The sequence below is a fragment of the Homo sapiens genome, chromosome 10, assembly GCF_000001405.40.
Source record: "Homo sapiens chromosome 10, GRCh38.p14 Primary Assembly".
Classification (NCBI taxonomy): Eukaryota; Metazoa; Chordata; class Mammalia; order Primates; family Hominidae; genus Homo; species Homo sapiens.
The window spans coordinates 86,429,299-86,442,858 of record NC_000010.11 but is presented as its reverse complement, the minus strand read 5'-3'; the positions used below and the strand labels follow the sequence as shown (position 1 = coordinate 86,442,858).

At 38.9% G+C, this 13,560-nt stretch overlaps 1 protein-coding gene across 2 annotated transcripts in view, besides 2 other annotated features; it reads left to right on the top strand.

The window, feature by feature from the left end:
- WAPL (WAPL cohesin release factor) overlaps positions 1 to 7,603 on the top strand; it is an 86,537-nt gene extending 78,934 nt beyond the window's left edge. For both annotated transcript variants that reach the window (NM_001318328.2, NM_015045.5), the window contains exons 18-19: positions 4,844 to 4,939; positions 5,251 to 7,603. In NM_001318328.2, coding sequence (NP_001305257.1) covers positions 4,844 to 4,939; positions 5,251 to 5,316 — 162 coding nt within the window. In that variant the 3' untranslated portion in view covers positions 5,317 to 7,603. The remainder of the gene's footprint in view (positions 1 to 4,843; positions 4,940 to 5,250) is intronic.
- Positions 4,553 to 4,847: a silencer, noted in NCBI's record as "tiled region #10398; K562 Repressive non-DNase unmatched - State 16:ElonW". NCBI's record gives its function as "represses a minimal TATA promoter and a strong SV40 promoter by Sharpr-MPRA in K562 cells {active_cell/tissue: K562}" and the evidence as "EXISTENCE:reporter gene assay evidence [ECO:0000049][PMID:27701403]".
- Positions 11,225 to 11,394: an enhancer, noted in NCBI's record as "experimental_17841 CRE fragment used in MPRA reporter constructs". NCBI's record gives its function as "activates a minimal promoter by MPRAs in K562 erythroleukemia cells, with activity observed for both the introgressed and non-introgressed 10:88191307 variant alleles {active_cell/tissue: K562}" and the evidence as "EXISTENCE:reporter gene assay evidence [ECO:0000049][PMID:34662402]".

Here is a 13,560-nt window from a genome sequence, read left to right as displayed (position 1 = left end):
ATCGTGTTAGCCAGGTTGGTCTCAATCTCCTGACCTCGTGATCCGCCTGCCTTGGACTCCCAAAGTTCTGGGATTACAGGCGTGAGCCACCGTGCCCGGCCATTTCCAGTAGTTTTATTTAAATTACCTAAATAGTTTTAAAGTAAAAACTTTAGTACAGTCTGTATTGGAAAGGGAATGTATAGCATTTTTTACATGCTAATCCTTTCCAATATAGGTTTTACTAAGTAAGGCCTGGAGTGGAGTAAATTAAATTGATTTTCACTTTTTAAAAAGTGAAATAAAGTTGATCTTTATGGCTTTATTAGGAAGGATGTGCCTGTCAGAGTTAGGCTGTTAAAGATGTAAGAAAAAGCAGTTCTGGAAAACAAGCTAGTCAGTGCTTTAATCTCATGAAAAAGGAAGAATTACATACATGAAATAAAATTAAAAATCAAAATAGTATATAATATTAAAAACTTTAAAATACTTGTTGAGCTTTTTCAGGTACATCCCAAAGGTCAGAATACTAATGAAAAAGCTCTTGTGGCCGGGCATGGTGGCTCATGCCTGTAATCTCAGCACTTTGGGAGGCTGAGATGGGCAGATCACTTGAGGTTAGGAGTTCGAGACCAGCCTTGCCAACATGGCAGAACCATGTCTCTACTAAAAATATAAAAATTTGCTGGGCGTGGCGGTGCACACCTCTAATCTCAGCTACTCGGGAGGCTGAGACGCAAGAATCGAATCGCTTGAATCCTGGAGGCGGAGTTTGCAGTGAGCCAAGATCGTGCCACTGCACTTCAGCCTGGGCTTCAGAGTGAGACTGTTTCAAAAAAAAAGAAGAAAAGAAAAAGCTGTTGTTTGATGGATGAATCTGTTCACATGCCTTTGGTTGGAGTAAAAGAAGGGATAGTATGAAACCTGTACTCATCTGGCTTAAACAAGATGGCAGAGTCTAATTTGGGTGATGTCAGTGCCTCACTGAGGTCATCAGAGACTCAGATCATTTCTGTCTTTATTATTTTTCTGTATTTTTTTGTAGAGACAGGGTTTCACCATGTTGTCCTGGCCGGTCTCGAACTCCTGGGCTCAAGTGATCCTCCTGCCTCGACCTCTCAAAGTGCTGGCATTATAGGTGTGAGCCACAGTGCCCACCCCATTTCTCTCTTTAAACTGCTGTCCTCCACATGTTGTCCTCTGCTAGCCCTTATGGTCCCGTGCTGACTACAGCTAGGTGTCTCATCAAATTAAGTAGTGCCTAGCAGTAATAGGGCCTCTTCCTCTATAGTTTTTTTTTTTTTTTCATAGGTGCATTGGCTGGAAATACATATCTTTTTAAGACAACTGTTTGTTTATTTCCCCTGTGGGACCCCATGCCACTCTCACCCCTCACCAGGTAGACTTCTCATCTTGGCCAGCATTGGGTCACAATGCTTTTGTCTGAACCAGTCACTGGCTGGGAACATGGGATTACTGTGAGTGGATTAGATCATCAGGATTCACTTAGGAGAAATACAAATGTCTAGACAATCAGGCTGAGTCAGCCTGAAAGTGAAAGGTTGTGACTATGGGGATAGTCTGCTGCCTTGGGAAAAACAAATATGAAGGGTAAAACTGTTGAAGAAGGGTCCAGCAGAATCATTGTGAGTGTTCTCTTTCAGATGGGGGGTTGGGCATAGGTGGATTATTTTTAAGTGTAAAGTCCATTTGTAAAGCCAGATTTTGAAATGGAAGGCAGATTGTTTTCTAGGAGCAAGGGCATTGAGGGAACAAGAAAGAGTGGAGACCTATAGGAGGGGGGCATTAGTTTCAGCAGGAAGCAGGGGCCATCTCTTTTTGAAGCTGGAGGACTGGAAGAACAGAGTTAATGATAAATGAATGGCTTTATTTGAGCAGGAACTCATGCTGGCTCTGTGTACCTGGGCCCATCTACCCACCCCACGTTTCCTTACTTTAGCCATCTAATTCTTTGTATTGCCTTTTTTTTTTTTTTTCACTTTGTGTATCTAAGTCCTGTGTGTTTTTCTGAATCCATCTTGTCCATCTCTTCCATACTTAACATTTTAACTAACCTAAATACAACAGCCCACTCTGTGTGGCCCCTCTGGGTACCGCCGATTTCAGGATCAAGACCAAAGTTCTCATCGTGGCTCTGGAGGCCCCGCAAGATCTTTATATCCCTTTTTCTTATTTCCAATGACAAGATTTTAAGAGCAAATCAGAAACCCATCACACACAGGAAAGGAGGAAGAGGCAGGCCTCAAAAGCAGTGAAAAAAGGCCGGGCGCAGTGGCTCACGCCTGTAATCCCAGCACTTTGGGAGGCCAAGGTGGGCAGATCACAAGGTCAGGAGATCGAGACCATCCTGGCTAACACGGTGAAACGGTGAAACCCCGTCTCTACTAAAAATACAAAAAAAAAATTAGCCGGGCGTGGTGGTGGGCACCTGTAGTCCCAGCTACTCGGGAGGCTGAGGCAGCAGAATGGCGTGAACTCGGGAGGCGGAGCTTGCAGTGAGTGGAGATCGCACCACTGCATTCCAGCCTGGGCAACAGAGCGAGACTCCATCTCAAAAAAAAAAAAGCAATGAAAATAATATTTAAATTTAAAGATTTTTAGATACTCTGTTTTTTACACACTATAGGTTTAGTCATATTTCAGTCACGTTCTTTCTTACATAATCGTTCTTGAAATTGTGTTATTACCACATATGATTTATCTTGGGCCATCTTTCCCATGCTAATTCCTATTTGTGTTTGCCTGTATCTATCTTGTCTCTAAAAAGAGAATGTTCTTAAATTGTGGGAAATGTTGTGAATTCATAGAGCCCCAGATTTATTTGTTGCCTTGGAGATTATTATGATTAACACCAAAAAGCTAGCTGATACCACAAAATGTAAAGGAAGTTTGGTTTACCTAATGTGTAAGTGAAAAGAGATAGACAAGAAAGCATGTGGTTGTTGCAGTAAATGCTGCTTTGTGGTCTGATCCCATTTTCACTTGCCCTCCATGTCTTCTCACTTTGCAGCTGGTGCATTGCAGTGGTCAGTCTCCTCACTGCTCTTCCTGCTTTGTTGCCCCTCCATTCCTGGGACATTGCACATTGCCACTGGAGCTAACTTACTTCAGAGCACTTACTGATCACGTAGCTCCTTGCCCAGTCTTCCTTGGCTCACAGCCAGGAAGGGGACTCATGACTGTTTAGTGTTGCAAGACCCTGGACTTAAGACTGCTTCTCCAATTTCCAAACCTACTGGACACTTTTAAAATTTTTCAAATAGGCCATGCTGTATCATGCCTTTTCTTTTTGTACCTGCTATATTCTGTTAAAAAATGCTGTCACTGTCCCTCCCATTGCCTCAGAAACGCTGTATGTCATGTTCTGTAGTGTGTTGATAGAGAAGGGTTTGATTTGGATTAATGAGGGGCTTTCATCCAAAATATAGGAGCTAATCATATATTCTCTATTACAGAGGCGTACTTTTCTACTGAGCAGTTCTCCAGAGACACCTTAGCCACTATTTTGCCCACCACTGTGATAGCTTTTGGTGGGAGGATCAGTTTGAATGTGTGTAACTGATATCTTCAGCACATGAGTACTTTAGCAGTGTTTTGATTAGATCTTTTCTGAAGCTGTATTCATCTCATTTTTTTGCTGCTTTCTAATTTTGCGAGTACCCTGGCATGGGAATAGGAAAAAGGGGGTGGGTAGTGGCAAATTTCTGAAGAGAAATATGTCATCTCTCCTTTTTTGCCCCCGCTAACAAAAGTCGAATTGGGAGCTTTTGTGTGTTTTCTTTTTGTTTTTTGGTTGGTTTTGTTTAACCCTTTACCTTGTGTCCCCAAACTTGGGACAGTATACTTTCTTTTGCCCCTTACTACAGGTGAACCTTCCTAAAAGATTTTTTCTTTTTATTCTCCGTAAAACATTTAAAGCATTCTTTAATGAAATAGTTTTTTAAGCAGGTTGTGTAATGTTTTCCATGTAACAGATTGGTTTATATATAGTTTGGCTGCTTCTTGCTAATAATGAAGGGTTTTCTCTCCTGATATTGTCTGAGAATCTATCATAGATGAGGTTAGATTGCCTTTGGAAAGATGCTTCTAGTTAATTCCTGTCCTATATAATTAGTTGAATTCATCTGTGAAGGATGTGAATTTTTCTTTGATCTTTTTATTTCATGAGCAGCTTTGTGAGTACATTCTCAGGTCTAAAGTCCTCACCCTCTTCTCCTATTCCCCCAGGGCCCCCAGTGAAACACACACATACATTAAACAGTGCAGTTTGTTATTTCAGGCCTTTTTCTTTGCATTTATGAAAGTAGGTCGGCATGCTGCCTCACACCTGTAATTCCAGCACTTTGGGAGGCCAAGGTGCGTGGATTACTTGAGCCCAGGAGCTCGAGACCAGCCTGGCCAACATGATGAAACCACGTCTCTGCTAAAAATACAAAAATTAGCCAGGCATGGTGGCACGTGCCTTTAATCCCGGCTACCCGGGAGGCTGAGGCATGGGAATCACTTGAACCCAGGAGGTAGAGGTTGCAGTGAGCTGAGATTACACCACTGCACTCCAGCCTGGGTAACAGAGTGACTGTTTCATTTAAAAAAAAAAAAAAAAAAGTAAATGTGTACACAAATATTTCTTTGTAGCTTTTGCCAACTTTACCTTTCTCCTTTCTTTCTGAGGGTGAGGTAGGAAATCACATGCAGAGTGAGTGTGGAAAGAGAATAAATAACCACGTGTTCCAAGGATCTTAAAAATTTGCACCAAGATGTGTGTCAAAACCAACAACATTGTACGAGGTGCAATCTCATGTTTTCTGCCAGCTGACCAATATTTCTTGCTCTGTTTCCTCAGATCAATGTAACCACTGTGCGGGAATATCTGCCAGAAGGAGACTTTTCAATAATGACAGAGATGCTCAAAAAATTTTTGAGTTTTATGAATCTCACTGTAAGTAGCTTTTATTACAGCTTATATGATTTTAAATTTATAATACATTGACAGTAGACATAAAAATACTATGGCCATAGTAAGTGGGAGCAAAAAGGGATTTTCTTTTAATTTTAATAATCGTGTTCTATTTCTTCAAGGTAATCATTGCATGTTATGGCAAATAACTTTATCAAACCCACAATTTAATCTCGGTGTACTTTGATTTGTAGTGTTCAGTTTAGTAAATCTAGAGGTAAACTTTTATTTATACTTCTTAAAATCTGTTAAATATTAACTGTTACTTCCTTTCCCCTTCACCCTGCTTTCAGTGTGCTGTTGGAACAACTGGCCAGAAATCTATCTCTAGAGTGATTGAATATTTGGAACATTGCTAGCTGCTTTACCTTTGCTTCAGGTGCTCGGTAATGCTGGAGCTATCCTTAGACAAAGAAAAGTCAAGTCATGAAAGAAGTCCTTGAAGATATACCAAGAACATTCATCAGTATCATTCGTGTTTGGATTTTTAAGGCCACCTGATTTCTTCGTCATGCATTCGGCATTTGCTAAATGACAGTTACTACATCAATCTGCAACTATCAAAAATGAGGGGAAAAGGTTCAGGCTGTTAACAATTCCATGCAGTATTTAAATACATTTACTTTGGCAGAGTTTATACCCTCCCCTTGTTTTCTTGCTTTATTCTGGGCAAGTTTGAAGGGGAAAATTTGTGCTGCTGTTAGTGCAACTGCTGTGTATGTTGAGCCACTGTTGTCATGCCAGCCAGGTGCAAAGGCAGCTTAGCTACTGAGGTAGCGAATGTTCTGAGGACATTCTAGACAACAGCTTAGTTCCTTTTTCAGGCTCATTTGCTTTTGCTTTTTTGTTGAATGATTCCAATCGTAAATAAAGCTTTTAATAATTTTGTGAATTTTTTGGTTGTTGTTCCCTGAACTACTGTCTATATTTAAAATTAGATGGAATCCAAAGATACACGGGATTAATAGTATATTTTTTTATTCTTGATTAGGTTTGGGTTATTGAACTATTTTTTACTTTTGAGACCACAACCATATTCAATATCATACCATAATGTGTCATAGCTATAGGCACAAGAAAAACAACAGTTTGAGAGAATATTATATAAGATGATGTGCCCTGTTAAAAGGAGGAGGCAAAATAGTCAAACCCAGGGTAGTTTACACTTAATGCTAGGGAGGCTCTTAAAACATTATTAGATTTTGAGGAAAGACTCTCTAGATATATTTTCTAATGTTCAGTACAATAAATATAAGGAAGCTAAAACACCAATGTGGAATTCCTGTTTCCAGATAACATGTATATTCTTCTATAGAGTGACAGGATCAATTGCATAAGCGCAAAGCCTTAAATTGCTGGTTTAGAGAAGACCCTTTTTTCATTCAGATTCTTTGTTCGTAGAGCAGTTATTTGAAAAACAGTTATGGAACACAAAACATTTTATAGATTTAATATCATAACATTGCAAATTTTTCTTGTATTATTCACACCACTGGTTATACTTTTTTTTTTCCTTTTTTATTGATTGGGCCTGAATACAGGCTTTCTAGAGATCTTTTTCATTAATACTTTTAAATACCTTTCAGGTAGTTACATCATGTTTCTTCATTGGATTTGTAAAACTTGAAGCCATAAAAATATTAGTTTGGTGTGTATTGGGGAAAATAGCTAAAAGTCTAATTTTTACCCATTTAGACTTTGTTATTTCCTTGTATAAAGTGACAAATCGGGGCTCTTGTATCAGTGCCAGCTGTAATGTTTTTAAATGCAGTGGCTGCCTTCTATTGTCTTCCTATTTTTGATAATGCAGATTGTTGGGAAATCTGTAAGGAAGTAACTGATTCCAGGCAAATTGTTTTCTTCCTTCTACCCACCCCAACCCCTACCCATCACCTTTTAAGAACATAGTACGCCAGTGTAACGTGGGAACCATTGAGATTGTATTTGCCCTGAGTATTAAAGCTAGCTTAGCAAAATACTTTTAAAAACATATTGGTAAATGATACCCGTAAAATTAAATTAGTTATATTTTATTTTAAAATGCAAAATACATTGATATTTATTAATCATTGGATTTAGGGAAAGGGACAGATTTTTGGTGAACCTGACTTGTGGCAGATGGTAAGGAATATTATAAAACATTTGGATGAGAACAATCAGGGCGAACTGCATTTTTCTGTTACACTGGTAATCATTTGAAAATTGATTTACCTCAGTGTTTAACAGTTTTTTGTTTTGTTTTGTTTTTTAAATAATAACTAATTGTCGAGCACTGATAGAGATGCAGATTTTGGTGGGGGGAGGTGGTGGGGGAGATAATCACTTCACCAACTGCAGTGCATTTGTGTGTTTTTAACCCTCAGAGAACTCTGCATTTTAGGGTACTTGAGGCTGACTTAACTAAAAGTTTTAAAGTAACCTTTTTTCCATTGTAAATATTTCTGTAAATACTACCAATTGGAAATTAGAACAGTAGAGTACTTTTCTGAATCCAATCCTATTTTTATTTTATACAGTATTTCTCAGCTGTGATCTTTGGAGCAAAAGCCAACGGCAGGAAAAAATAGTTTGTACCAGTTTCATGAAGTATGTCTTTGGGTTTTTGTAAATAATTTTAACTCAAATAAAATTGCTACTTTCAATACACATGTTGTCTTTAACATAAGTCTATTGGAGGACAGAAGTGTCACAAACTTTATATATAGCCGACTCTAATGGGAAATACACTATCACTTAACACATTTAACCAGTTTTTGTTAAATATTTTATTATTTCTCCATGTTTTTAATAATACTCATCTGAATATAATGTGAACTCAACAACTCAGGCCAATTAGGGACTGGATTTTCAGTTAGGCCCTTGGCATACTTAACTGTTTTGATTTAGGTTATTTTTTGCTCCTATGAGTATGATCCAAGACATCTTTGCTTCTGAGGTTTTACACTGCTTTTTAGTTTTTCAGTTTTCTTCTTAATTGTCAGCCCTTAGGCATCCTGCATTTACAAGTAGATTCCTCAACTTCTCCTTACTGCTTTTAGCCACAAAACTAGATTGAAGGATCTCTCCTGGGAGTTTCCATTACTCTCCCCACTTAAACATGAGTAAGAGTGGTTTCAGGATGCAGGCTATGGATATAGAAAGACAAATCACACAGAAAATTTGAATCCTTTTTCTGATACATGCTTATTGACTTTGAGTAAATTCTTGAACCATTAAGCCCGTTTCCTCAAAACAGGAAAAACAGGGATAGTACCTACCTCATGGTTGTGAAAAGTAAGTACATGTGAAGCATTAGCACAATATTCTAAACTTAGGATGGCTGGGCACAGTGGCTCACACCTGTAATCCCACCACTTTGGGAGGCTGAGGCGGGCAGATCACTTGAGGTCAGGAGTTCAAGACCAGTCTGGCCAACATGGTGAAACCGGTCTCTAATAAAAATACAAAAATTGGCCAGGTGTAGTGACACACACTTGTAATCCCAGCTACTTGGGAGGCTGAGGCAGGAGAATTGCTTGAACTCAGGAGGCGGAGGTTGCACTGAGCTGAGATTGTACACTGCACTCCAACCTGGGAAACACAGCAAGATGCCATCTGAAAAAATAAATAAAAATAAGTAACCTTAATTTGGCAATGGTAGCTTTTATCGTTTCACTATTTTGTATCAGGAAGGTGAAATATTCTAAACAACAATGGAGTAGCATATTGTTATATTACTGAGGTCAGTGGGGCTTGGGTTACTTTAACGGCAATTCTACAATTGCTGTTTTCAAATTGATCTTGTTAATATTAATGACTAATAAACGAGGGAATTGAACAAACTTCAGTAATCATTAAAGTATTTTAAGCATGGGGTTGGGGCGCGTTGGCTCATGCCTGTAATCCCAGCACTTTGGGAGGCCGAGGTGGGTGGATGCCGAGGTGGGTGGATCACGAGGTCAAGAGATCGAGACCATCCTGGCCAACATGGTGGAAACCGTGTCTTTACTAAAAATACAATAATTAGCTGGGCCTGGTGGCGTGCACCTGTAGTCTCAGCTACTTGGGAGGCTGAGGCAGGAGAATCACTTGAACCTGGGAGGCAGAGGTTGCAGTGAGCCAAGATTGTGCCACTGCACTCCAGTCTGGGTGACAGAGCGAGACTCCGTCTCAAAAAGTATTTTAAGTATGTCCTTCAGGTTTTTTCTTGGATGTAGAAGAAAGTCTTGAAAGAGGCTTGCACAATTCACTATCATGGTCTCCTGACATTGGATGTGTAGATGCATAACTTTATGGGTAATGTCTTTGAACAGAGAATTTGAATAAATACTGAGTGTTTTTGTCAAACCTCTTTCCCTGTTTAACCTTTGTGTGCAGTTTGAATACTCCAAATGCCATGTACTGGCGTAAGGAGCCAGCTGAGTTTATAAAACTATATACTGCCTAGTATAGTTTATAAAACTATATACTGCCTAGTTATTAGTCATAAGAACCTGTCTTGCTATCTAGAATTGTATTATAGCAAATGTAGGTAAATGAAACTATCCTCTTGCAAAAATTGTTAATATTAAGTAGATTGTCCTAAATTAAAGATGCCTATCATAACCCCTAGAGTAACGAGTAAAAAATAATGCAGACACATATAGCTAGAGCTGCCAGAGGAAATTAAAAGGAACACTGGAAAATATTTGATTAATCAAAGGAAGGCAGGGAAGGAGTAACTAACAAAAACAAACAAGAAAAGTAGAAAACGAGAAGCAGGACGAATAGAAATAAGCAAAAAACACTTCCCTGTAAGGAACAAGCCAAAGATGTCCACTAAGCCTAATGATATGAATAATTATATTAAATGTAAATACACTAAACAAAGGCAGAGATTGTCAAACTGAACAGCCAAGAGACACTAACTACAAATATACAAATGATATGGAAGCAAAAGGATAGGAAAAGATGTACCATGCAAATACTAATCACAAAATTGGAGTGGCTGTATTATCAGACAAGATGGACTTTAAGACAAGGGAATATTACCAGATCTGTTAAGGGGAAAGGGTCTCTAACAGGAAGAAATAACAATTCTGCCTGTGCATCTAATACCTGATAGACCTTTTATACTACATGCAGTTAAAAATTTAAAGGAGAAATAGACAAAAGTCACATCATAGTTTGATATTTCACCCTTTGGAATTAATAGGATACATATATATATGATATATATCAGTAAAGATAGAGAAGTTCTGAATGACAGTATCAACTATCGACGTAATTGACAGTTATAAAACATTACACGGAGCATATTTTTCAACTGCACAAAAAATTTTCACAGACCATCTGATGGGTCATAAAACAAGTCTCAATGAATTTAAGATGATTGAAATCTTAAAGGGGATATATCTTCACCCCAAGGAATTAAATCAGAAGTCAATACAGATCTAGAAAACTTTGAAAAATAATACACTTCCTAGTAGTCTTTGAAGGGGAATTAGAAAGTTTAATGATCTGAATGACAAAATGCAACATATCAAAATTTGTGGAATACACTTAAAGCAGTGCTTAGAGGAAAATTAAGAAGGCTTAAATTATCCTAATTTCTATGTGAAGCTAGATGAACAATTAAACCTAAAGTAAGTTCAAGGAAAAAAATATGAGCAGAAATTAATATAATAAAAGACAAGTAATAGAAAAATTTTACCAAAGCCAAAAGATGATTCTTTGTAGTTAATAAAACTGATAAATCCTTAGCAAGACTAATCAAGAAAGAAAAAAACACAAATTATCAACGTCAGAAATAAAAGATGGAATACAGATGCTATAGGCCTAAAAGGATAAATAATTTTAAAATTTTTATAATTAAAATATTTTTATTACTTAATAGAGACAAGGTCTTACTCTGTTGCTCAGGCTGGTCTTGAACTACTTAGCTCTGATCCTCCTGCCTTGGTTTCCCAAAGTGCAAGCATTACAGACGTGAGCCACCACACCCGGTCAGATAAAGAATTTTATGAATAATTTAAGCCAGTAAATTTTACAAATTAAATGAACGAATTCCTTGCAAAACAAACTTACCAAAACTAATTCAAGAAACAGAAAGCCTCATTAGCCCTATATTCAAAACAATTGAATTTGTACTTTAAAATCTACATATAAGTCCTGTCCCAGAAGACTTCATTGATGCATTACATGAAACACAAGGAAGAATTAATATCCATTTACACAGAAAGTAGAGAAGAGAATACTTACCAAATCAGTGTATAAGCCTTACCTATATATCTCCAATACAAAGCGCAAAGATATTGCAAGGAAAAAAAATAGCAACATTTTTATAGATGCAAAATATTTAACAAAGTATTACAAGATCAAATCCATTACTATGTAAAAAGTATAATACATCACAACAAGGTATTTATCAAAGGAGTGTAAAATTGGTTTATTATCCTTTAGATACAGAAAAACCATTTTCCAAAATGCAACACCTATTCATGGTTAAGAAACAAGCAACAACGCAGTGGCTCACGCCTGTAATCCCAGCACTTTGGGAGGCCAAGGCAGGTGGATTGCTTGAGCACAGGAGTTTGAGACCAGCCTGGGCAAATGGCGAAACCCTGTCTCTATAAAAAATACAAAATTAGCCAGGTGTGGTAGTGTGCGCCTGTGGTCCCAGCTACTAGCAGCTACTAAGGCAGGAGAATCTCATGAGCACAGGAGGTCGAGGCTGCAGTGAGGTGTGATTGCACCACTGCCCTACAGCCTGGGTGACAGAATGAGACCCTGTCTCAAAAAAAGAGAAAGAAATAGGAACTAATCTTGATCCCCGCCCTCAGAAGAGAGCAGGTATGAAAAGTGTACAATAATTGAACTTGATGAGTCACTGAATGCTTTCCTCTGAAGATCAAAAACAAGGCAGAAATTTCCAATATCAACACTTCTACTTTGTATAAAAGTAGAATTGACAAGCTGATTCTAAAATTCACCTGGAAATGCAAAGGACATAAAATAGTAAAAATAATCTTGAAGAATAACAAAGCTGGAGGACATACACTATTGACCTTCTAGTTTCACGATAAAACCACAATGGTCAAGACCATGTATTCGCATGAGGACAAGATCAATACAATGAAGGCAGAGCCTAGAAATAGGTCAACAGATACACGGTCAACTGATTTTTGACAGAGGCACCAGAGCAATTTAATGTAGAAATTAAAATATTTTTAACAAATGGTTATGAAACAAGTGAATACCCATATTTAAAAAAAAAATCTTGACCCTTACCTTATGCTAAACATAAAAATTAATTCCATATGGATCATAGATCTCAATGTAAAAGCTAAAACTATAAAGCTACTACAAAAAGAAAGAACGAGGCCAGGCGTGGTGGCTCAGGCCTGTAATCCCAGCACTTTGGGAGGCTGAGGCAGGCAGATTGCCTGAGCTCAGGTGTTCGAGACCAGCCTGGGCAACATGATGAAACCCCGTCTCTACTAAAACACAAAAAATTAGCTGAGCGTGACAGCCTGTGCCTGTAGTCCCAGCTACTTGGGAGGCTAAGGTGGAAGGATCACCTGAGCCCAGGAGATGGAGGCTGCAGTGAGTGGAGATCATGCCACTGTACTCCAGCCTGGGAGATAGAGCCAGACCTCGTCTCAAAAATAAAATAAAAATTGGCCAGGCGTGGTGGCTCATGCCTGTAATCCCAGCACTTTGGGAGGCTGAGGCAGGTGGATCACGAGGTCAGGAGTTCAAGGACCAGCCTGACCAACATGGTGAAACCCCATCTCTACTAAAAATACAAAAATTCTTCGGGCGTGATGGCAGATGCCTGTAATCCCAGCTACTTAGGAAGCTGAGGCAGGAGAATCACTGGAACCCCGGAGGCAGAGGTTGCAGTGAGCCGAGATCGTGCCATTGCACTCCAGGCTGGGTGACAGAGGGAGACTCCCATCTCAAAAATAAATAAATAAATAAAATAAAAAGTGGCCAAGTGTGGTGGCTCATGCCTGTAATCCTAGAACTTTGGGAGGCCGAGGCAGGTGGATCACGAGGTCAGGAGATTGAGATCATCCCGGCCAACATGGTGAAACCCCGTTTCTACTAAAAATACAAAAATTAGCTGGGTGTGGTGGCATGCACCTGTAATCCCAGCTACTGGGGAGGCTGAGACAGGAGAATTGCTTGAACCCGGGAGGCAGAGGTTGCAGTGAGCAGAGATCTTGCCACTGCACTCCAGCCTGGAGACAGAGTGAGACTCCATCTCAAAAAAAAAAAAAAAAAAAAAAGATAAAAAAACCCATAAATTACAATGAGATGCTATTGTGTATTCAGTAGAATGGCCAGTTCAAAAGATGACAGCACCAAATGGTGGCACATCAACAACTGGAACTTTTTTTTAATGCTGTTGGGAATGTAAAATCATAACACCACTTTGGACGAGTTTTGTCAATTCCTTGTGAGAATAAAGTTATGCCTGTCTGGGCTGAGTGCACTGGCTCATGCCTGCAATCCCAGCACTTTGGGAGGCCGTGGCAGGAGGATCACTTGAGGGCAAGAGTTCAAAACCAGCCTGGGTAATGTGGTGAGACCTCATCTTTGCCAATGAATAGATAGATAGATAGATAGATAGATAGATT